Source organism: Homo sapiens, chromosome 1 (assembly GCF_000001405.40).
Source record: "Homo sapiens chromosome 1, GRCh38.p14 Primary Assembly".
In the NCBI taxonomy this organism is placed as follows: Eukaryota; Metazoa; Chordata; class Mammalia; order Primates; family Hominidae; genus Homo; species Homo sapiens.
In genome coordinates, this window is record NC_000001.11 from 196,233,039 (window position 1) to 196,258,694 (window position 25,656).

Genomic DNA, 25,656 nt, shown 5'->3' on the forward strand with positions numbered 1-25,656 from the left:
AGACATGTATAAATGTGGATGCCATGAAAAAAGAACAGCTTTATTTTATTATCATAATATACTATGTGAAGGGTCCAGGATGAGTAATTAAAATCCAAGTGCATCATAAATAAGATGTTTTCCTCTAATTGAAGTCCTTTATAAATTCAATATCACCATCAGATACAATTTTTGACAGTGACTTAAGAATTCTACTAGCTTAAATTGTTATTCATCTGTTTCCCCAATGCTCCTGTATTCTAACCAGTATTATCAGATGGCAAAATAAAGCAATATTATACTTGATAGTTCTATCTTAGGTGCATTTTAGGAATCTTTTCACACTTATTTGGGGTCAGATTTACTCCTGCTGTTTTATTTTCCTAATAAGTTTTTGAAATGCTTCCTGTTTCTGCCCTAAAACAAAACACTCGTCAGTAGTACAACACTAATTATTCTACTGTTTCTTCTGTATTTATATTTTTGGAAAAAACATTCCCTATTTAGCCTTTTTCAGCTGGAAGATAAAAAATATTTTTTCTACAGAAAACTAGCTTATCTTCAAAGTTCCAATACTGTGTATCTAAATGCTTTCTAGACATTTCCTCTTTATACTTTAAATAACATATTTGAATGGATGGATGAAGAAAATTTGTGGTATATATGCAAAGTAGAATACCATTCATCCATAAAAAAGATGAAATTCTGTCATTTGCAGCAACATAGTCAGTGTTAAATGAAATAAGCCACAGAAAAACAACATAGTCAGTGTTAAGAGAAATAAGCCACAGAAAAACAAATATCATGTTTTCATTCAAATGTGTGAGCTAAAATAATTGATCTCATGGAGATAGTAGGCAGAATGTTACCAGAGGCTGGGAAGGGTGATGAGGAGGGGAAGATGGAGAGAAACTGGTTTATTAGTAACCAAAATACAGTTACACAGAAGAAATAAATTCCAGTGCTTCAAAGCACAGTAGGGCAACTATGCTTAACAAGACTTCATTGTATATTTCAAAATAGCTGGAAAAGAACATTTGGGATATTCCTAACACAAAGAAATTATAAATGTTTGGGGTAATGGCTACCTCAATTACCCTGATTGATCATTACATATTTTATGCATGTATCAAAATATCACATGTACCTCATAAAATGCACAACTATTATATATCAATAAACTTAATTAATTAGAAAGTCAACATTTATTAAAAATACATATATACCTGGACCCACATATCATCTCTTTTTTTTTTACTACCCAACAGCCCCTCTTTCCTGCCTGGAAAATTGTCTCCCCATTCTGACTTGTTTTGATGAAACAACATTTTTTTTTTATTTTTGTAATCACACAGTTTGAAACCCTAAAGCTGTGTTAAACTTCTTTTTCAATTCCCAAATCAATAATCAAGTCTCATTTTCTGCCTTCATAAATCTATTTACATAGGGGCTTGCCTTTACAATGCTTTATCTTGATGCTATGACAGATGGTTGTTTCTCTAACACCTGCTTTTTAACTGTTTTCCCTACGTTCATATTCACCCCAACCCTAACCCATCCTATCAGTCAATTCTATTGTTTTCTGCAGAACTCTTTTAAAAAAATCATACCCTTTTCACTCCAGTCGAAATCTTCCACAAAACTGACAACATATAAAAGAGTCTTCTAAAATTTTGCATATTATTACATTTAGTTCTAAACCTCTTGCATGGATCCATATTATGCTCAGCATAACAAAATGTTCTCAGTCCTGCTAGTCTCTGACTTTGTCACTTGCTTTCTGGATTACAGACACAAACACATCCTATGGATCTAATATCCAACAAAACATGTGGATCTTTGGCATTTGTTTTATGTCAGTAATACAATCTATAGTTAGTTACCCTGGGTAAACATCACTTGATCTACCCCAGGACAGGTCGTGTATCTCAAGGGAAGATTCTTGTAAGGAATTTCTTTCCTAGGCTTACACCAACAACTGTCAAAGTGCCTTTTCTAAAGTCTTGTTACATACTTGCTCATATATGTCTAAGTGCTGTCCATCATCTATAAGGCCAACTTTAAATTCATTTTGTCACGTAAGACCTTTCCAGAGGCAAATATAATTTATTTTTCCAGTATTACATTTGCCTTACAACAGAAATGCTAACTATACACAATTTCTACTCCAGTCAAATTGACACTGAAACACTTTATGCAATTCCTGCATTTTCCAAGCCATTCTTTCTGTTCTGGAATGTCCTCTCTTCTCCACCATCATAAATTCTATCTACCCTTCAGAGTCTAGTTTAAGTCTTACATTCTTTATAATTTCTCCAACTACTCAATAATGTCTCCTTCTATTAATTCAGAAAAGCACTGTCTATGTCACTCAACTGATGCTTAGTTTATTAGTGACAAAGTGCTATTATGTATTGCTATTAAATTTTTCATGTGTAAATTGTAGCTTTGTTAATTAGAGTGTAAGGACTTTGAAGTCAGAGAAAATGCCTTAGTCTTTCTATCTCACATCTTTAGGTGAGTGCTACCACTGTACATGTTCAATAATTATTTTTCAAGAAATAAAATTAGTCCCATAGAACTTTTTCTATTAAGTGTTTGACCAATCACAGTTTGGCTTTTGGGAAGTTGAAGGTATTTAGAACTAGACAGTGTGGGATATTTCACTGTTTCTGTTGAGTTGCTCTTTTATTCTTCCACGTCTTCACTTATTTTTTCCAAATATTTTTTAGCTCACATAATACAGAATTCATGCTGCTATTTCTTTATTTTATACTGCTTTTAAACAATCATATTTTTATATTGCACACAACACATGAAATGCATTTGTTTATTTATAAAATTAGGTATAGACTATTTAAGCACTTATAAGAAAAATAAGAGGCTATTATGGCCTAAATATAAGTACAAAAATAAATAGTAGTTTTCTAAAAATATCTGTCTTATATGAGATATGAGATCAACTTACACAACATCATTCAGCTCTATTCTGGTATCTGGAGATGGGTTAATCAGGATGTAGGAGAGGGTACTTTGATGATCATTCATTTCATCTAGAAGATAAATAAATGCCAAGTTTGTTATACTGCTTATAGAAAATTACAGGAATTACTAGTGAACAGCTTATATTCAAACCATATAACTGTCAACAAGAACTTGGTATAGTTTTGTCCACAGCATGATTGTGCACATAAGTTTGGCTATTTTCAAATTGCTGTCATTGAAAATATCTGACACATACTTATTTTTTGTTCCAATAGATGATAACAATAAAGTATCTAATTCTGTTCAGAATAATCACAGTTATAGTTTACCGTTTATTACACTGAAAAAGTATTTTTCTTTAATAAATGACTGGATAAGATGTTTACTTGATTATTATGCTTTATCAATTACAAAAAATAATCATGGTTATAGATAACAATCCTAGAAAAGAATATCCACACAGGAAATTCTTGGGAAAAATAATATAATTACATTATGTTTAGAAAACATGCTAGAAATGTGTCTAAAAAGCTTGAAGACCCTAAATATGTGTTTGGCTTCACTACATGACACATCTCATGTAACTCATCCTAATGCTTTTGCAGAATGCAAAGAATCCTCTAGAACAGAATTTAACCATGAATTTTAAGGGAAGTGTACTCCTGAATCATTTGTTTTTCCTAAAGCAATATATATATGTGTATATATTTAAAATGAAAAGCTGAACCCTTTTAATTTATTAATTCACTCTGAAAACATCCTCAGGCTGCAAGTTGAAATGTTGACCCTGCATTACATAGGACATTGAAAAAAATAAAAGGCAAACAGCTTTGTGGTCTCAATTTTTTAGATTTCAAGATTATCATAAGATGTAAATATAAAGTTATGTGGATGTATATACTTCAGTAAACATAATTCCTCCCATGGGTAAAGTTTTCAGTCTATGAGAATTCTCTCAAAAATCCTGTTTTTGAGCTATAGTATTCCAGGCACTGCAGTTGCAGACAAGAATGGCTCCTGAAGAAAGAACTAAATTTTTCAGTTTGACCCAAAGTCTAAGAATAAGTTTCATACCAGTCTAAGAAATGGTTTCATACCAATACCTATAGTATTTAGTGCATACTCAAATAACTGCATTAAACTAAAATCAAGATATTTGTAGCTGACCCTGATAAACAATTTGCTGCACTGGAATATAAATTACATTCATAAAATAATGTTGACTACTGTGTTCCTCTAACGAGAAACCTGTCACTTTAATATGAAAGACACTATTTTCGGCTATGGTATTTCAAGTTGATATGGAGATGTGCCCCATTTTTAAAGTGTAAAAACAAAAATCCTTATCTTTCAAGGCAGAAAAATCACAAAATAATTAAACCCACTGTAAGTTTGCCAGTAACATTATTACAATCAATAGCTCACCAAATTCATAATCAAATAAATTAGTATATTCAGCTCCACATCTATGGGATAGACACAAGGAATTGTATCATGCCATAGTGTTAGGGTTGCCAGGAAAAATAGAGAATGCCCATGAAATCTGAATTTTAGATAAACAACTACCATTTTTGTTGCTGTTGTTGGAATCTCAGTCTGTCACTCAGGCTGGAGTACAATGGCTTGATCATATAACTAATGTTTTTTAGAATAAATGTATCCCAAATATTGCATGTGATATACTTACACTAAAATATCTTTGTTGTTTATCAGAAATTTAAGTTCCACTGGGAATCATGTATTTTTATTTGCTAAACCTGGTGGTCATATCTAGTGTTAGATGGCTAAGTTAACTGTCTGGAGATTAGAATTCCAATGAATATATATTGATGCTTACTACAAATAAGGTATAATTCCAACTCAAAACATATTTTACTGGCAGGAGATTACTAGGATTATTTCTCCATAAGAAAAGAAATTTTGATTCATATGTGCTTTTTGAGAAATGCCCCCTTATTTGAATTTCTACAACTGTTGTGCAAAGGTACAGATTGATAGTGCATTGTGGAGACTAAATTGTAATAATCTAAAAAGTAAGAGGTGGACTAGAAAATCTACATCTTATTTGACTATATATAACTCCGTTTCTTTTATGAACAATGACATTATTGAACTGTGATACAGGAAAAAACAATTTAACAGATAACTTCTCAGTCAATATCAACACCTAGCCTTTATCCTTGATTATTAACAGGATATTATACTTCTTGGTTCTAGAATCAAGCCAAATTCTATCGGTGACCTGGCTTGCCTGTTAAAAATGTAAAAATTGTGTAGATAATTGAGAAATTTCCGGTGGGAGATATGATTTTTGTGCCAATATTTTTTTTCTGCTTAAGTAGCCTGTATTATTTATCCTACTGAAGATATTTATTTTCCCACAAACCACGGAATTGGAGCAAGCATTTTGCTAAAGTTTTCAATTCAATTATTATACATGGCTTATCAAGACGTAGAAAGCATCACAATCAGAAATAATCTCTCTTGGTTTCTTTCCTCACCCCTCACTGACTTTTCCTAAGGGAGGAGGAATGACTTATCTTTTAGAATTAGGTTAAAAGAATTTGCTGACTTCAAAGCTATTCTCTTTTTCTTTCACGTGTGCCTTCCTATAGGGTACATTTTGCCTGCTTGTTCTCTGCCATGCTGCTTTGCACAGAAGGCCTACAGTTGCCCCTCTTTTTTGTGACTTTGTGTTTAAGAAGCATTTGGAGAAATACCTAATGTAAATGACGAGTTAATGGGCGCAGCAAACCAACACGGCACATGCATACATATGTAACAAACCTGCATGCTGTGTACATGTACCCGAGAACTTAAAGTATAATAATAATTAAAAAAGAATTAAAAAGTGAGATTTTCTAAAAGCCTATTGCAGTCACACATCAAAACCACATTCAACAATAGTTTCTATTAGCCATGATCCTGGAATATTTTGTCTCCATCAGTCATTCTCTATGGTTGTTTTCTAGATATTCTTTCATTCTGGAGGTGAAAATGTGGCAAATTTGTAGGATCTTCAAGATCCTATCAATTATCATTGACTATGGCAAAGATACAAATTAATTAAAATATGGCTTTGCTCCAAGAATGCCATATTTACTGAATAAAATAAATTTTATTTGGTAAATTAGCTTCATGAACAACAGAATCTATTTCTTACCAAATAAAAATATATATGAAGGGAATTTGCAGTGAATATATTTACTGTGTCCCTGATAACCAAAATACGACATTAGCAAAATAAAAAAATTATAAGTTTAAATTATTTTCATTAAAAGTACTGTTTCATCAGTGACATAATTATTTTAATAAAATTACTCATAAAAACTGAAAATAATATTTTTGAATATTATAAACTTTAAAATAAATTATATGGAGAAAAATTTAAAGATTGCTACTAGCATTTACAAAGAAACTTCTTTTGCTATATTAACTAGCATATACAATTATTAAACAAAAATCTTCAAATGGCAAATATTTTGCTTAGAGTAGTTTGTGTAAATAGATCACATTAGAAAAGGGACAGAATCATATTCCTATGGTTCTTACAAAATAATTGATTAATGAGTCCTATTCCATACACATTACTTTCATATTTTTGTTTTGTTTTAAATTTTCATGTTGAAGTATTTTAAGAGGATTTTTGAAAGAGGATAATAGAATTTTGTAAGACAGAAATTTAAATATTTTGTATATTTGTGTAGGTTACCATTAAATAATATTTCTGTTATAGACTGAATTGTGTGTTCCCCCACAAATTCCAATGTTGAAAAGCTAACCACCAAGATGACTGTATTTGGAGATAGAGCCTCAAAAACTAATTAAGTTTAAATGGGGTCAACAGGGTTGTCCTCTAATCCAATAGGACTGGTGTCCACATTAGAAGAAGAAGAGATACCAGGAGTAAATACACACAGAGACAAGACTGTATGAGGACACAGAAAGAAGGCAGCCATCTGTCAGCAAACATGAGAGGCCTCAGAAGAAATCAAATTTTGGGCACCTTGATGTTGGACTTCCATCTTCCACAATTGTGAGAAAATAAACTTCTAGTGTTTAAACCATGCACTCTGTGGTATTTTTTTATGGCAGCCCTAGTACACGAATATAACTTCTGAAAACACATATCCATTGTATCATGTGTAGTCAGAGGAACATTCTATATAATATAAAGATATCACTTAGAACAAAGGCTCTGAATCCAGACTGCTTGCTTTGAAATTATGGATCTGCCAATTGCTTACTCTGAGATCTTAGGCAAATTATTTAATTTCTCTTAATCTCTCTGCGATTAACATCCTGGCATGAAAAATGAGGATAGCAACAGTGCAATCTCACAGGTTGTTGTTAGAATTAACATTTATTCTATTTATTCTAATAAATAAATAACAAATATAATTTAAAAATAATATGTTCACATTGATTTATAGTTCTTGTACTTAGTATCTTATTGCTATCAAGTGCAACATAAAGGTTATGTATTATTATAGTAGCAGGCAAAATCAAGCAGTAAGTTATAAAAAACAATTATATATGTATTGCTATGTGAAGGTGTGGGCATGCATAAATAGAGAAAGCGTGTTTTGAACAGATAGAAGGGCAAATGGCATAGCAAGAGATGATTTGGTTTAATTTGCAGAAAGTAGGCACCAGGGAATGGACTAAACTAAAGTGAGAGAGGAGAAGATTAATTTGAGATGATGTTGAACAGGCAAGCTGGGACCAGATTCTTGAAGGGCTTTACCCTTGGTCAGCAGTTTGAATTTTATTCAAAGTGCAATGAGAAAACATTGAAAGCTTGTAAGGATCGAGGGGAAGGCTGGTGGTATGAAACAATTTTACATTAAATATATCACTTTGATTGCTTTGTGGGAAATTAACTTTGTGTGGGACAAGTTTAAACTCAGGACTATTAGGTGGTCATTGTGAAACAGAAACCCATGTGAGAGATATTGGTAGCAAGAGAACAATAGAAATGGAATAAATTAGTAAAAGGGGCGAGGAAGAGAGATAGAAATGATGTGGAAGACAGAAATAGGAGAGAGAGAGAGAAAGGAAGACAGAGAAAGAGACTTAGAGAAGGAGACAGAGAATTTTAAGCTGGGAGATACCACAGTATGTTTGAATGCCAATGGGAGAAAATAAGTAAAAGAAATAGGTGCTATATGAGAAAGAGGGTTTTGTTTTGTTTTTGTTTTTGTTTTTGTTTTGTTAGTACAAGAAATACCTTATCAGGGAAGCTAAACTCAGTCATACTGTACTTACTTCTTCTACATAGTTGGTAATAGCATAATCTAGTGAAGATTTCATTTTCCTTCACCTGAACTTATATACACATTATGTGTTATCCACCTATAAAACTGGCTAGTTTTACAGTGCTGACTCAATTTGCTCATGTATTCCAGTTTAGTGCCAAATTATGTTTATGAGTACAACTATTTCATCTATTGTTACTGAACTGACCAGTATATTTGGAGGGTGTGAAAGGTGCTTAGAGATAAGAACTAAAGAAGAATAATTCCATTTAACTGACCTCTATTTAAAATTATTTTCATTATCATTCAAAGATTTTTAATCATTTTATGATAGGCAAGATAAAATTATTAAAAACATTTGAACTCTCTTAATTTATCTCCATATGAATATTCAGTGTATTCAACATCATATGAAACTATGAGCAAAATGAATAGAAAGATTTTCAGAACAAGCTACATTTTAACTTGCCATGAGCCACTCCATCACTTACTAGCTTCCTGCAAATAAAACTAATTACTTGATACTCAATTTTCCTTTCAAAATAGAGTATTCAATATTTCTTAAAAACCTATGTCACTACCCTACTTGTGTTTAAAAGAAAACACAGATTTTCTTTTAAAAACCTATGTTACGTTTCATAAATGTTGAAAAACAAAAACCACCTTGCAATATTTTTTAACAAGATAGAGATTCAAAAGAAAGCAAACATGAACAATTAGTCTAAATATATATGATTTCTTCAATGGTGCAAAGTCCTGTTTTGTTTTGTGAAGATGCTTTCTCCATTGCTCCATATCCCTTACCCTACCACAATCTTCAAGGCTACTGGGTGCCCTGGTGAATGGAAGCTATCAATAAATGCTAGTTTCTTTCAAAATACTATGATTACAGCTATTTTATATTAAAGAATGTGGGACAAAACTATACAGATTGTCTTCATAGTAAGGAACATAGTGTACATTTATATTTAAATAGAATATTCATTGCATGTCAACTAAAAGGTTTTATATGTGTTCAGGTGAAGTACTTCAAAATTTAGTGATGAATCTAATTGGTAATCTGAAAATGTAAAATCAAGACATTACAGAAAGCCTAAAAGATTTTGGAAACACAAATAGCATATTTATTATATAATTTTATTTTAATAATTGGACCCATTGATTTAAATTTAAAGTTACTACTACTGAAGTAATAGTTGAGGATTGAAGAAAACAATATTAAACATATACTTAAAAAATCTAAAAATAAGTACATACCAAGCTTTCCAATTTTGCAGCTCTCCTGCAGTACTTTCATTTGACTTACAGAACATTTTTATGATCAGTTGATAATTGTAATTTATTACATGATATTCATTATTTTTGTGTTCGATTAAGTCATTCAGTAATGATAACAGCATGATTATTTGGATCACAGATAACTCTAATTCTGAGGACACAGCAATGAACAAGATAGGCAAAGTTTTTGCCTTCACAGACCCTTTTAGCAATTTTCTTAGAATAGCTTCATACTATATAATACAGATCTTCAGAATAAGTGTCAGGAATCTTTACTTATAGGTTTACTATAAGTTACTGTAAACTTCCTATATAACTTTAAACATATCATTGAAGTTATTTTAGGATCACCATCACTGTTTTGATTATCTCATAGGTACGTTGGGTAAAAACAAAATAAGAAATTAACTAATCCCAAGTGCACATTCAATGAGTTTTGACAAATGCATAGTGTGGCAACTACTACCATAATTATGATGTCAAACATTTTCATAATGCCAAACAGATCTCTCATGCCCTTTTGTAGTCAATTTTCTCCTCTCAATCCCAACTTCTAGCAATCACTGATTTCAAGAAGCAGTTTTCTAGGAATAATAAAATGTGTTTCTATTTTTCTCTTAGCTATGCTTTTGTGCTGAATCCATGTTATTGCATGAATCTACTTTGATACTAATATAGCCACTCTAGCTTTCTTCTTTTCATTGCATGAAAAAACATTTTTAAGAAGTGTTTTTCCACAGAGGAGGTGAAGCAAGATGACCAAATGGAAGCTTCCATACTTTCTGCAAGAACACCAAATTGAACAACTATCCACACAAAAAAAAACACCTTCATAAAAACCAAAGATGAGGTGAGCAACTACAGCATCTGTTTTTAACTTTATGTCACTGAAAGAGGCACTAAGGAGAGTAGGAAAGACCATCTTGAATTTCCAACACCAACCCTCCCCTATCTTTTGGCAGTGGCCACATGGTGCAGGGAGTCTGTGCACTCGGGGAATGGAGAACACAGTGACTGTGAGACTGCATTGGAACTCAATGCTGCCCTGGAACAGTGGTAAGCAACACTGGGCAGAACTCAGCCAGTGCCCACAGAGGGAACACTTAGACAAGTTCTAGCCAGAGAAGAACTGCCTATTCCAGCAGTCAGAACCTGAGTTCTGGCAAGCCTTGTCACTGTGGGCTAAAGTGCTCTGGGGTTCTAAATAAACTTGAAAGGATGTCTAGGCCATAAGGACTGAAATTCTTGGGGAAGTCCTGGAGCTGTGTTGGAATCAAAGACAATGGACTTGATGGGGCACATGACCCAGTGAGATACCAGCTGGGATGGCCAAGGGAGTGCTTGTGCCACCCCTCCCCCAAACCCAGGCGGTGCAGCTCACAGCTGCAAGAGAGGCTTCTCCCTTCTGCTTGAGGGGACGAAAGAGTAAAAAGGACTTTGTGTTGCAACTTGGATACCAGCTCAGCCATAGTATGATAGGGCACCAGGCAAAGTCCCGAGGTCCACATTCCAGGCTCTAGCTCCCAGATGACATTTCTAGACATACCCTCGGCCAGAAGGGAACCTGCTTCTTTAAACAGAAGGATTCAGTCCTGGCAGCATTCATTACCTGCCAACTAAAGAGCCCTTGGGCCCTGAATAATCAGCTGTGATACCCAGGCAGTACTTGCTGTGGGCCTTAAGTGAGACTCAGAGATGTGCTGGCATCAGGTATGACCCAGAACATTCCCAGCTGTGGTGGTTATAGCAAGAGATTCCTTATGCTAGAGAAAAAGAGAGGGAAGAGTAAAGGGGACTTTGTCTTGCAGCCCCAGGTACCAGCTTGGTCACAGTGGTACAGAGCACCAAGTGGGCTTTTACTGTCCCCAGTACTAGGCCTGGGCTCTTGGTCAGCATTTCTGGACCTTCCCTGGGCCAAAGGGGTGCCTACTGTCCTGAGGAGAGAGTTTCCTGCCTGGCAACATTCACCAAAATCTGACTGAAGAGCATGTGGGCCTTGAATGAACATTGACGGTAGCCAGGTAGTACCCAACATTGGCCTGGAGTGGTGGTGGCCACAGGGAGAGATTTCTTTGCTTATAGGAAGGGGAGGGAAGAGAGGGATGGACTTTGCCTGTGGTTTTGGTGCCAGGCCAGCTGCAGTAGGATAGGGAAACAGTTAGAGTCCTAAAGTTTCTGACTCTAGGCCCTGACTCCTGAATGGCATCTCTGGACTTGCCCAGAATAAGCAGGGAACTTACCACCCTGAAGGGAGGAAAAAAGATGGGCTGGTTTTGCCACCTTCTGTTTGTAGAGCTCTAGGGCTTTCAGCTAGCATACGTGGTAGCCAGGCAGTGGTTACCACAAGCCTTGGGCAAGGCCCCATAGTGTGTTGGCTTCAGGTCTGACCCATTGCAGTCCCAGTAGTGCTGGCCAGAGGGGTGCTTGTGTTATCCCTTCCCCAGCTCCAGGCAGGTCAGCACAGAGAGAGACTCTGCTTGGGAGAAAATAAAGAAAAAGAACAAGAGTCTCTGCCTGGTAATCCAGAGAATTCTTCAAGATCTTATGCAATACCAACAATGTAATACTTTTACAAGTCTGTAAGAGCCACAGCATTACAGGGCTTGGGGTGCACCGTGAGTAGATATGGCTGCAGTGACCAAAAACTTTAAACACAAAGTCCAAGTCTCAGGCAGGTTGTGGTGGCTCATGCCTGTAATCCCAGAACTTTGGGAAGCCGAGGTGGGAGGATTGCTTGAGCCCGGGAGTTTGAGACCAGCCTGGGCAACATAGCAAGACCCTCTCTCTAAAAAAGCCAAAGCAAACCCAAAAAAATAACAAAGCCTAAGTCTGAACACCTGAAAAGCCTTTCAAGAAAGATGGGTACACACAAGCCCAGATTGCAAAGAATACAATAAATACCTAACTCTTCAATACCCAGACACTGATGAACATCCAGAAGCATCAAGACCATCTTGGAAACCACATCCTCACCAAACAAAATAAGGAATCAGCGACCAATTATGGAAAGACAGATATTTGATTGTTTAGATGGATTATTCAACATAGCTGTTTTGAAGAAACTCAACAAAATTCAAGATAACACAGAGAAGGAATTCAGAATCCTAACAAAAAAATTAACAAAGAGGTTGAACTAATTAAAAAGAAACAAGCAAAAATTCTAGAGTTGAAAAATGCAACTGGCATAATGAAGAATGCATCAGTCTCTTAACAGAAGAATTAGTGAGCTTGAAAACTGGCTATATGAAAGTACGGTCAGAGGAGAAAAAGGAAAGCACAATTTTAAAAAATGAAGCATGCCTACAGAATCTAGAAAACAGCACCAAAAGGGCAAATCTAAGAGTTACTGACTTTAAAGAGGAGGTTGAAAGATAGGCTTAGAAAGTTGATGCAACAGGATAGTAACAGAGAAATTCTCAAGCCTAGAGAAATACATCAATATATAAATACAAGATGATAATAGAACATCAAGCAGATTAATCAAAATAAGACTACTTTAAGACATTTAATAATCAGACTGCAAAAGATCGAGAATAAAGAAAGGATCTGAAAAGTAGCAAGAGAAAAGAAACAACATACAATGGTGCTCTAATATATCTGGGAGCAGACTTCTCAGTGGAAACCTTACAGGCCAGGAGACAGTGGCATTATGTATTTAAAGTGCTGAAGGAAAAATACTTGTATCCTAGAATAGGAATAATACTTGTATCCTTTTATCCTTGTGTTTTCAACCCATTGAAAATATTCTTTAAACAAAAAAGGGAAATAAGGACTTTCCCAGTCAGACAAATCTGAGAGATTTCATCAACACCAGACCTGCTATAAGAAATGCTAAAGAGAGTTCTTCAATCTGAAAGAAAAGGATGTTAAAACAATAAGAAATCATCTGAAGGTACAAAACTCATTGGTAATAGTAAATACACACACAAAAATATACTATTGTAATAGTGGTGGGTAAATTACTTGTATTTTCAGTAGAAAGACTGAAAGATAAACTGATCAAAAATAATAGCTACAATTTTTCCAGTTTTCAGGACATAGTATAATAAGATATAAATACAAACAAAAAAAAGTTAAAAAGTGGAGGATAAAGTTAAAGTGTAGAGTTTTGGTTACTTTTCTCTTTACTTGTTTGTTTGTTTATGCAATCAGTGTTATGTTGTCATCAGTTTAATAAAATGGGTTGTAAGATATTTTGCCAGCCTCATGGTATTTCAAATCAAAAAACATACAACAGATACATGATAAATAAAAAGTAAGAAATTAAAGTATACCACCAGAGAAAATCACCTTCTCTAACAGGAAGATGAGAAGGAAGGAAAGAAGTAAGAGAAGACCACAAAACAACCAGCAAAAAACAAATAAATAAATAAATGTCGGAATAAGTTGTTACTTATCAATGAAAACATTGAATGTAAATTGACTAAACCCTCCCAATCAAAATACAAGAGCACCTGAATGAATTAGAAAAACAAGACTTAATGATCTCTTGCCTACAAGAAACACACTTCCCTTGTAAAGACACACATAGACTGAAAAAAAGGTATGGAAAAAGACATTCCATGCCAATAGAAACCAAAAAAGACTAGGAGAAATGTTTTTACATCAGATAAAATAGATTTCAAGGTAAAAACTATAAAAAGAGACAAAGGTCAATATATAATGATTAAGGGGTAAATTTAGAAAAAGGATGTAACAATTGAAAATATACATGCAACCAACATTGGAATACCCAGATATACAAAGCAAATATTATAAGAACTAAGGAGAGATAGACTCCAACACAATAATAACTGGAGACTTCAACAGCCCTCTTTCAATGTGGAACAGATCATCCAGACAGAAAATCAGCAAGGAAATGTCAGACTTAATCCTTGCTATAGACCAAATATCTACTAAGATATTGGCAAAACATTTTGTATTAGTTGGTTCTCACACTGCTATGAAGAACCGCCTGAGACTGGGTAATGTATAAAGAGAAATTGACTCACAGTTCCGCATGGCTGGGAAGGCCTCAGGAAACTTACAATCATGGCAGAAGGGGAAGCAAACATATCCTTCTTCACATGATGGCATGAAGGAGAAGTGCTGAGCAAAAGTCAGAAAAGCCCCTTATAAAACCATCAGATCTTGTGAGAACTCACTATTATAAGAACAGCATAGAAGTAACCACCCCATGATTCAATTACCTCCCAGCAGGTCCCTCCCACAACAGGTAGGGGTTATGGAAACTACAATTCAAGATGAGATATGGGTGGGGGCACAACCAAAATCCATATTACATTTCATCCAATGGCTGCACAGTACACATTCTTCTCCTTAGTATATGGATCATTCTCAAGGACAGGCCATATGTTAGGCCACAAAACAAGACTTCATAATTTATTTTAAAAATGGTACTATAGCAAGTATATTCTCTGACCACAAAGGAATAAAACTACAAATCAACAAGAGAACTATGAAAACTATACAAACACGTGGAAATTAAACAGTATAATCTTGAATGACCAATGGCTCAATGAAGATATTAAGAAGGAAATTGAAAGATTTCTCAAAACAAAAAGTAATGGAAACACAACATACCAAAAATCTATGGGGTACAATGAAAGCGGCACTTAGAGGAAAATTTATAGCTAAAAGTGCCTACATCAGAAAAATAGAAAAACTTCAAATAAACAACCAAATGATGCATCTTAAAGCACTAGAAAGGCAAGAGCAAGCTAAACCAAAAATAGTAGAAAAAAAGAAACAATAAAGGTATGAGCAGAAATAAATGACATTGAAATGAAGAAAAAAATACAAAAGATCAACAAAAGAAAAAGTTGTTTTTTGATAAGATAAACAAAATTGACAAACTTTTATCCAGAATAAGAAAAAAAGAGGAAACACCCATATAAATAAAATAAGAGATGAAAACAAAACATTACAACTGATACTGCAGAAATACAAAGGATCTTTTAGAGGCTACACTACTATGAACAACTATATGACAATGAATAGGAAGCTGGAAGAAATTGATAAACTCCTAGACACACAAAACCTACCAAGATTGAAACATGAAGAAATCCAAAACCTAAACAGACCAATAACAAATAATGACATGAAAGCCATAATAAGAAATGTCCCAGCAAAGAAAAGCCTCAGACCCTTATGGCTACACTCCCGATTTTGACCAAACATTGAAAGAAGGACTAATAACAATCCTACTCAACCTATTCCAAAAAATAGAAGAGGAAGGAATACTTCCAAAGTCTTTCTAAGAGGCCAGTATTACCTTGATACAAAAACCAAATAAAGATACATCGACAAAGAAACAAACAAACAAAACTACAGGCCAATATCTCTGATGAACATTGATGCAAAAATCCTCAGCACAGTATTAACAGACTGAATTCAACAGCACATTAGAAAGATTATTCATCATGACCAAGTGGGATTTATCCCAGGGATGCAGAGATGCTTCAACATGTGCAAATCAATCAATCTTATCAACAGAATGAAGGACAAAAACCAAATGATCATTTCAATTGGTGCTAAAAATGGATTTGGAAAAATTCAAAATCCTTTCATGATTAAAAAAAAACTAAAAAAATTGGGTATAGGAGGAACAAACCTCAACACAATAAAACCATAACAACAGATGCACAGTTGGTATCATACTGAGTAGGGAAAAACTGAAAGCCTTTTCTCTAAGATCTGGAACATGTTAAGGATGCTCACTTTCAACGACATCATTCAACATACTGCTGGAAGGTGTATATAGAATAGACAGGCAAGAGAGAGAAAGAAAGAAAGGTCATTCAAATTGGAAAAGAAAGAATCAAATTATCCTTGTTTGCAGATGATATGCTCTTCTATTTGGAAAAACCTAAGGATTTGAACCAAGAGTATTAGAACTGATAAACAAATTCAGTAAAGTTGCAGGGTACAAAATCAACATACAAAAATCAATGGCCAGACATGGTGGCTCATGCCTGTAATCCCAGCACTTTGGGAGGCCAAGGCGGGAGGATCACCTGAGGTCAGGAGTTTGAGACCAGCCTGGCCAACATAGTGAAACCCTGTCTCTACTAAAAATACAAAAATTAGCTGGGCCTGGGGGTGCATGCCTGTAATTCCAGTTACTTGGGAGGCTGAGGCAGGCAAATCACTTGAACCCAGGAGGCGAAGGTTACGTAGTGAGCTGACATCATGCCACTGCACTCCAGCCTGGATGACAAGAGTGAGACTCTGTCTCAAAAAAAAAAAAAGTTAGTATTTTTATATGCCAACAGTGAACAATCTGATAAAATCAAGAAGGTAATCCCATTTACAATAGCCACAAATAAAATTAAATACCTAGGAACTAACTTAAAGAAGTGAAAAAGCTCTACAAAGTAAACTAAAGACATTGATGAAAGAAATTGAAGAGGACAAAAAAATTTGAATGATATTTCATATTCACAGATATTTCATGTTCACATATTGTTAAAATGCCCATACTATCCAAAACAATCTACAGATTCAATGTAATCCCTATCAAAATACCAATGATATTCTTCACACAAATAAAAAAAAAAGCATTCTAAAATTTATATGGTACCACAAAGACCCAGTATAGCTACCCTGAGCAAAAAAGAACAAAACTGGCAGAATCACATTACCTGACTTCATATTATACTACGGAGCTAAAGTAACTAAAGCAGCATGGTACTGGCATAAAAACACAGCATGAAACATGGTACTGGCATGGTACAGCATGGTACAGACACACAGACCAATGGAACAGATTAGAGAACCCAGAAACAAAACCAGATATCAACAGTGAATTCATTTTCCACAAAGGTGCCAAGAACATACATTGGGGAAAGGAATTTCAATAAATGATTCTAGGAAAACTGGATATCTATATGTGGAAGAATGAAGCTAGACCATTACCTCTCACCATTTACAAAAATAAATCAAAATTCAAGAGTTAAATTTAAGACTACTAACTATGAAAGTACTAAGAGAAAACATTGGGAAAACTCTTCAGGACATTGGACTGGGTAATGATTTTTTAATACCCCAGAAGCACAGACAACCAATGCAAAAATTGACAAATGGGATCACATCAAGTTAAAAAGCTTATTCACAGCAAAGGAAACAAACAACAAAGTGAAGTTACAACCCACAATATGGGAGAAACTATCTGCAAACTGTGTATCTGACAAGTGATTAATAACCAGAATGTGTAAGGAGCTCAAACAACTTTATGTGAAATAATCTAGTATTCAATTTAAAAATGGGCAAAAGAGATGAATAAACATTGGTGAAAAGAAGACATATCAATGAAAAACAGGTATATGTAAAGTTCCTCAATGTCACTGATCATCAGAGAAAGACAAATCAAAACTACCATGATATATCATCTCACCCCAATTAAATGCTTTCATCCAAAATACAGGCAATGACAAATCCTGACGAGGATATGGAGTAAAGGGAACCCTTGTACACTGTTGGTGGGAACGTAAATTAGTACAACCACTATGAGGAGAACAGTTGAGAGCTTCCTCAAAAAACTAAAAACATAACTACCATATGATCCAGCATTCTCACTGCTAGGTATATACCCAAAAGAAAGGATATCTGCACTCCCATGTTTATTGCAGCTGTATTCACAATAGCCAAGATTTGGAAGCAACCTAAGTTTCATCAAGAGATGGATGGATAAAGAAAATATGATACATATATACAATGGAGTAAAGACGCCTTTCTACTTTTTTTGATTTGCAGTTTCTAAGAAGAAGTCTGTTGTCATTTTACATTTAATCCTCATTCATAAAGTGTTTTTTTCCTCTAGCCCTTCCAAAGTGTGTTTAGCAGTGTGTTTTTTGTTTGTTTGCTTGTTTGTTTTTCTGAGCTGAAAAAAGAATGAGATAGTGTAATTTGAAACAATGTGATGGAACTGGAGGTCATTATGTTAGGTGAAATAAGCCAGGAACAGAAATAAAAACTTCATATATTCTCATTTATTTGTGGGAGCTAAACATTAAGACAACTGGACTCATGGAGACAGAGAGTAAAATGATGGTTACCAGAGGCTGGGAATGGTAGTGGGGATGGGAGAAAGGGGATAGTTATTGGGTACAAAAATATAATTAGATAGAATAAGACCTAGTATTTGATAGCAAAACATGGTGACTACAGTCAATAATAATTTATTGTGCATTTAAAAATAACTAAAAGAGTTTAAGTGGATTGGTTATAACACAAAGAAATAATATATGCTTGAGATTATAGAAACCTTATTAACCCTGATGTGATTATTATGCATTATTTGCCTTTATCAAAAGACCTCATGTACCACGTAAATATATACACCTAGTATGTGCTCACAAAAATTAAAAAATTTAAAAATATATTTTTCCTTTTAACCAATTTTGTTTTTAAGTGGGTTTCTTTTATGCAACATATATGGCGTTTTGCTTTCTTTAATGCCACCTGATGATCTCTGCATTCCAACTGAACTGTGCAGTCTCTTTATATTTAAAATAATTGTTAATATATTAGGGTTTAGATGTTTCATTTTGCTAGTTGTGTTTTCTTATTGTTTTATTATCTCTTCCTTCTTTGAAGTGAGTTTTTAAAAAAATTCTTCTTTTAATCATTCCATTTTATTTGCACTATTGGCTATTAGTTATATCATTTTGGTTTAGTTATTTTGTAGTTCCTTTAGGTCATAGGTTGGCAAACTTTTGTTCTGTAAAGAGCCAGATAGTAAATATTTTAGGCTTTGCAGACCATATGATAACTGTTGCATCTACTAAATTCTTACATTGTAGATGTAAGAGGCCATGCACAACACATAAACAAGAAAGGATGGTTGCTTTATTTAGCAAAACTAGTGTGCTATTATTTCTCACGCTATAGAGTTTACAATATACAGCTTTAAGTTATTACTCTCTACTCTGAAATAATATAATACCATTTCACATGTAGTAGAACAACCTTACTACATTATACGTCAGTTTTTCCTTTCCTGTTATTTCAGTTATTATAGCCAGACATTTTTGCTTCCATATGTACTAAAAACCACACAATGTTATAAACTTGCTTTCAACAGTAAATTATCTTTTAACAAAATAAAAACATAGCTTGCATGTTTACCTATATATTTACTATTTGGTCTAGATCCATAATTCCACCTGGCATCATTTTTCTTCTGTTTTGGGAAAGCCTTTTATCATTTTTTTGTAGTATAAACAAATTCAGCATTTGTTTGTCTAAAAATATTATTTGCCTTCATTTTAGAAAGATATCTATATTATATATAATGTTATAGGTGGGCTATTTTTTTTCCTACTCTCAAGATGCCTTTCTATTTTTTTGTTTTGTAAAGTTTCTAACAAGAAGTCTGTTTACATTTTACCTATATTCCTCATTCATAAAGTGGTTTTTTCCTCTAGCCCTTTTGAAACATTTTCAGCAGTTTTGTATATTGTTTCTTGGCATTACTTATTAATATGTATTTATTAGTATTTATATTTTTAAATATTTATATTGCTTGGGTTTCAATGAGGTTCTTAAATTTTAGGTAGAGTTCTCATCGAATCTGAAAAAATTTTGGCCATTGTTTCTTCAAATATCCATTCTCTTCTCTCCTTTTGGAGTCCAGTTACATGCATGTTACATTAGTTGATATTGTCCCACTGGTAACTAACATTCTATGTGTTCTTCGAAGTTTTATTTTCCCTCCTTCTCTCTATACTGTATTTCGGATAGTCTATTGCTATGGCTTTATGTACATTGATAGTTTTTTCTGTGGTAGGTATTCTGATGCCACCCCCATCCAGTATTTAACTTGGAATACTGAATTATGCATTTTTAGAATGTTCAATTTGGTCTCTTCTATCTTCAGTTTATTTCCTTATCATGTTCTTGTTTTCCTCTGCCACCTTGAACATATAGAATATATTATAACTATTTTAAGATCTGTGTTTTCCGAATCTGTTTCTGTTGATTTATTTTTATACTGGTTATGGGTCATATTTTCTTATTTTGCATCCTAGTCCTTGATTTATAAAGGAGTTAATTCATCTATTTCCCTTTCCCTGGGGAACAAAGTTATACGCTTCCTTTGTCCAAAGTCTGCACAATATTGTTTCACATTTTTTGTATTATTTCAGTTGAGAACATAAATGATGGTCAAAATCAGAAGTTTCTCCCTGTTGTTTTACAGCATTTAGAAAGCTCTTTCTTTGTTCTTTTGTTGACTATTTATACTCAACCACTCAACCCATAATAAACTGTTAAAAGTAAAAAGTTCACTCAACCAACTAACTTATTTCAATAACAAAAAAATTTTATTTGATTCAAATTGGCCTCTTTTTTCCTACACATGTGCCAAAACACAGCACTTGAATTTCCAGTTGTAAAGATTAAATATATGTATAAGTGCAATTAAGTATGGTGAGAAATTATGCAAAATATTGGTGTCATTGAAAAATTAATGCTCTAGGAAGGATATGATACAACTCTATAAAGTAAAACTTTATATTTTAATTTAAGGAGATAGGAACAATTTATTGCTCAAATATTTTCATTTACTACCTATCATTAACTCATCAATTACCCTTTTTGAATGCTTTATTGATTTATCTATTAAGAAAAAAGATTAGTTTGTTTACTCCTAATAAAGTTCTATGAACAGAATGAGATTAACATAAATCAAACCCCATGTATTCATTCTTGTGTTTTTGAGGGCCAACCCTGAGAGTTCTGGAAATATAGAATTATACAGAATATAATTAATTTTCTGGGGAAAATACACACACACTCATTTATATTAGGAAAAGCTAAATGATATATCTCAAAAAACAATAAAAATCCAGTGCCAATTCCTTCTGAAATAGTAAATTGTTAGTGAAGTCATTAGCATGATCTCAAATACTTGTATTATTCCTTCCAATTATTAAAAGTTGCAAAAAATTATAAAAGAAATAACTAGCCATAGTTCCTTTTCCCCAGTTGGTAATACGTTTTAGGATAAATCTGTGAAGAAATCTGTACTAGAGAAAAATATTTGATTTATTCGTTAAAAAATACGAAAACTTATGAGCTGAAAACAGAAGATGATGGTCTTATTATTACTACTACCACCATCACCACTACTATTACTACTGCTGTTAAATCTATCATAGTTTGAGTAACAATAACAATTCTTTCTTGTTAAGTTTGCTTATTTCTTTTGCATAAGAAAGACAATGACTAAGAACTAAGTCACCATGTTAGCTATAAAAGAGTTCTTGGTTACTCTATTCATTATTTTAGGCAAATTATAATTTCCTTGACAAAAAAATAAGAATTTCTCTTGGGTATAATAAAGGACAAGCCTAGACACTGTTAGTTATCTTGTTTTATTTAAAAGGATTTCTTTTTATTCTTCCCTTGGCTTTTCATCTTTTACTAACAGTATGAAATTTATAACAATACACGTCCAAATCAGCTAGTACCTATTATCAGCAGTCACATCAGGAAGATTTACTTGCCAATATATACTACTAGAAATACCATTTTATGGGCTAATCATAAAATCCATCAATAGATAACAAAGAGCAATGTTCGTGAGCGTGAGAGTCAGTCTAAACAGATTATTGAGGAATAATGTTAGTTATTAACAGAAAAAAAATTATTCACATTTGCAATAGAGTTTATAGATTAAAAAATCTTTTCACTTGCATTCTATTATTTGACAATTATAACTAACACATCATACCCCTGGGAAATACTTTATTATCTTCATTTGATGGTGGACAATAAGTTCAGAGAGATGTGACTTGCCAAAGAACACACGGCTTGTCCAACTTGGAGGTGAATATATTTTAAAAATTATATTGAAGAAAGTTACAAAAAATTAATTAAAAGCAAGCAGAATGTGTAGATTGTCACTTTAGCTGTTTCCTCAAAGCATATGGGTCCTCATATTTCACCTCCCAATCCCTTGGAGCTAGATGTGTTTGAGAACTAAATTTTTCAGATTTAGAAAATATTACTGAGCATATAACGCATAATGTGTAGCATCCACAGTAGGGTTTGAAGGAGCAGAGAAATTAATGGTTCTGCAGTAAAACATATATGTTCACAATAAATAGGATAAGTAAAGGATACTTAATCATTTCAGGTAGTTTGGATCAGTTTCCATATCCAAACACATTTTAGTGCCAAACTTACTTAAAACCTTGGTTTCAGAAATTATGGATTTTGGAATTACAAGTGAAATATTGTGTACTTGTATTCTAATGCAGAATCTTTTGGGAGTAGGTATATGTATATCTCAGATAATAAATGCATGAGAATTTGTATGACTTGATTATTTCAGCCTAACCTGTATATCAGAAAATATTAACAATTTTAATAGTGCTATACAGTTGCAGATAAGGTCAGAGTTTCAGTTCCTCCTGCATGTTAATCACTCTGGGCAAGGCATTTAATGTCTCATAACTTTGTTTTAATCTCTCAAAAGGCAAATAAAATGTGTCTCCACTATTTCATAGTTGAGTTTTCACATAGTATTATATAAGCATAAACACAAGTATAAAAATCTTGCCCTTCCTTTTGGAACTTATCTCCATATTTTTCCTCAACAACTGCCAATTATTCCATGATCATAAAGCAATAATTTCTATAGTCAAGCATCAGATTTTCAAAATTTACTGAAATCAAGTTTATAAACCTGGTACCACTGAGCCATTTTTTAAGCCTGGTATATCCTTTTACTCCCCCCAAAAAAGCTAACAGTTCTGCCAAATTTTAAACCCTGAAATCAATCATGAAAAAATTAAGCCAAACAAAAATGACATCCTTGTAAGCTGTGGTCCATGACAGCATTTTCCATAAATTATAATTTCACATTATTTAATTTTGGTTTAACAAAGGTAATCTGAAAAAACTTAATCAACAACAGTGTTGACTGCTCTATGATATTAGTGACAACTTGTATTTTAAAGTGTTTGCTAACTCTTTGAAAAAAATATTAGCAATTTAGTGACTTAAATTTTTAAATATTTTTCAACATTTCCTTATGAGTTTTTTGTGTTATTTGAGATATAATTATTTTTCTTTAGACAATATAAAAATAAGATTCCTAATACATCACTTGTAAAGCACCATTTTCCTCAAGTTTGACAGTTTCACAGGTGATTATCATGGAAATATATATATATATATATATATCCTTTGATCTGTTATATATATAAAAAACAGTGTTAGTGTCAGAAGCGTTTGAACCAAAGCAATTCCATCTTGAATAGGGGCTGGGCAAAATAAGGCTGAGACCCGCTGGGCTGCATTCTCAGTTATAATCCTTTTAAGAATATAATCACCTTCCATGTAAATTAATTGGCAGATAGCTATTAGTGGATTTCTAAAATGACGATCTTACTTTTTCTTTTAATTTGCTTCTTAATGTAAGACATTAAATGTGATTATATTAAAATTATTTGTCACAGATGAATCTGGACTACATTTAAGTAAGTATCATATAATTATGAACTATATATGGAGTCCTGACTACAACACATTTTAACTGTATGTCTTTGAGCAAAGTCTTTAACTTCTGAAAGTCAAAATTCTGAAAGGTAAAATGAGATACCTATCAAATCAGGGTTATAAAGAGTAACAAGAATATACACATAAAGCACCTAGCATAGTTCCTGGAGTAGCACACATAGCATGCTATGCATAGAGTAGTGCTAACTTAATATGTGGGTTTTTTCCTTATTCAAAGAAACAGAGGCAACTTCTCTTAAACTCTAATTCAAAGACTAAAATTTCTTCCTAAGAACATTGCCTCATGTTGAGATTTCAATAATAAACAAGAGAAAAGGGTAAATATGGAATACCTTCTATTTGATTCTTAACTTGCATGATACTAACCCTATCTGAGTTCCTGGTTTACCATGTTACATATTTATATACGTAAAATAAAACACCTTGTTTATCATTTGGTTTTCCTTTGACTGGACTAAATATCTTTTTAAAGTAAAATTCATACACTGATAAATGATATATTTTAAATGTATAATTGCATTATTTAAGCTTTGCATTATTTATTTAAGCTGTGTCTATAGTGTCTATATGGCAATTATGGATCATATATAGGAACTGAACAATTATTGAGACAGATTGGCACTATATGAGATAAAGCAGTATTTGAGCTTCAAAATTAAAGTTTTTGAAGATTTTGTTTCTAAACCACATACACTAAACAAATTTTATAAGAACATTTTGGTTTACCTGTGGCCAATACAATCAGTTACTTGTCAATGCCTCAAATTCATTTTATCTCAGGCACTAGAATAAGATGATAATTAGAAGGCTACCTGACTTAGGTTCTTTACTTCTAACATGAAAACACAGGGTCTGGCTCAGAGTTTTTGTGAAAATTAAAATTAAGATAATTCATGTAATGGGTTTAGCACAGTACCTAGCAGACTCAGCAAACGCTGAAAATTTTTAGCATTTTATCTTATCATCATCATTTAAATTTTCTGTAGGAGATCAGATGTATCACTAGTTTCTACTAATTGACCTGTGAAGCAAAAATTCAATTCTTTATTAAATTAGAACCAACTATATTACTACTAATGGCAAGAAATCACGAGTCCATATATACAGTAGTTTTTAAAGAGCATACCATATCCCACTGTAGAAAGACCCAAGTGTTTCATTCTATTTTTCACAAGTTCAGCAAGCTCTTGTCTTTCTGACCTCCTGTAGAGGTTCAGTCGCTGCTGGGTTATTTTTTCAGCTGTTTTACCAGAGTGTTTTGGGCCTTTTCTGCTCAGTCTTCGGGCCCACTGCATGCTTTTTCTCCGCAGCAAGGGATGGTCCGACTGATCACTGGATGTTGAGTTGCGGTGGTTGCTGCGGTGGTGCCCTTGTTCTTTGGAGTCTTTGGTGTCTTCCCACTCTTCTACACTGATAGATATTTGAGACTTTAAAGGAAATAGATATTGATAATTAGATACTTTAGAAATAAATATGGCTTGAAGTTGAAATAATATTTTATTTGCTAATATATTGTTATATTTCTACTCAGGAGAGTTTTCACAGAAAGAGCAAAATCAGTCTTTGATTCTAATTTTCCATTACTAAAAATATTAAAATGTATGTTTCCTTGAACGTACATATAAAT

At 33.3% G+C, this 25,656-nt stretch overlaps 1 protein-coding gene across 10 annotated transcripts in view; it reads right to left on the reverse strand.

Annotated features, from left to right (window-relative positions):
* The window catches only part of KCNT2 (potassium sodium-activated channel subfamily T member 2), a 382,662-nt gene that overhangs the window by 7,260 nt on the left and 349,746 nt on the right, over nt 1–25,656 (reverse strand). For 9 of the 10 annotated variants that reach the window (NR_146057.2, NR_146058.2, NM_001287820.3 and 6 more), the window contains 2 exons: nt 25,156–25,456; nt 2,948–3,032 (listed from right to left, as the gene is read on the reverse strand). Coding sequence is in view for 8 of the 10 variants with exons in the window: in NM_001287820.3 (NP_001274749.1) it covers nt 2,948–3,032; nt 25,156–25,456 (386 nt within the window). In the remaining 2 variants the exon portion in view is untranslated. Of the gene's footprint in view, nt 1–2,947; nt 3,033–20,802; nt 25,457–25,656 lie in introns of those variants that run through there. The other variant, XM_017001185.3, reaches the window with a different exon arrangement.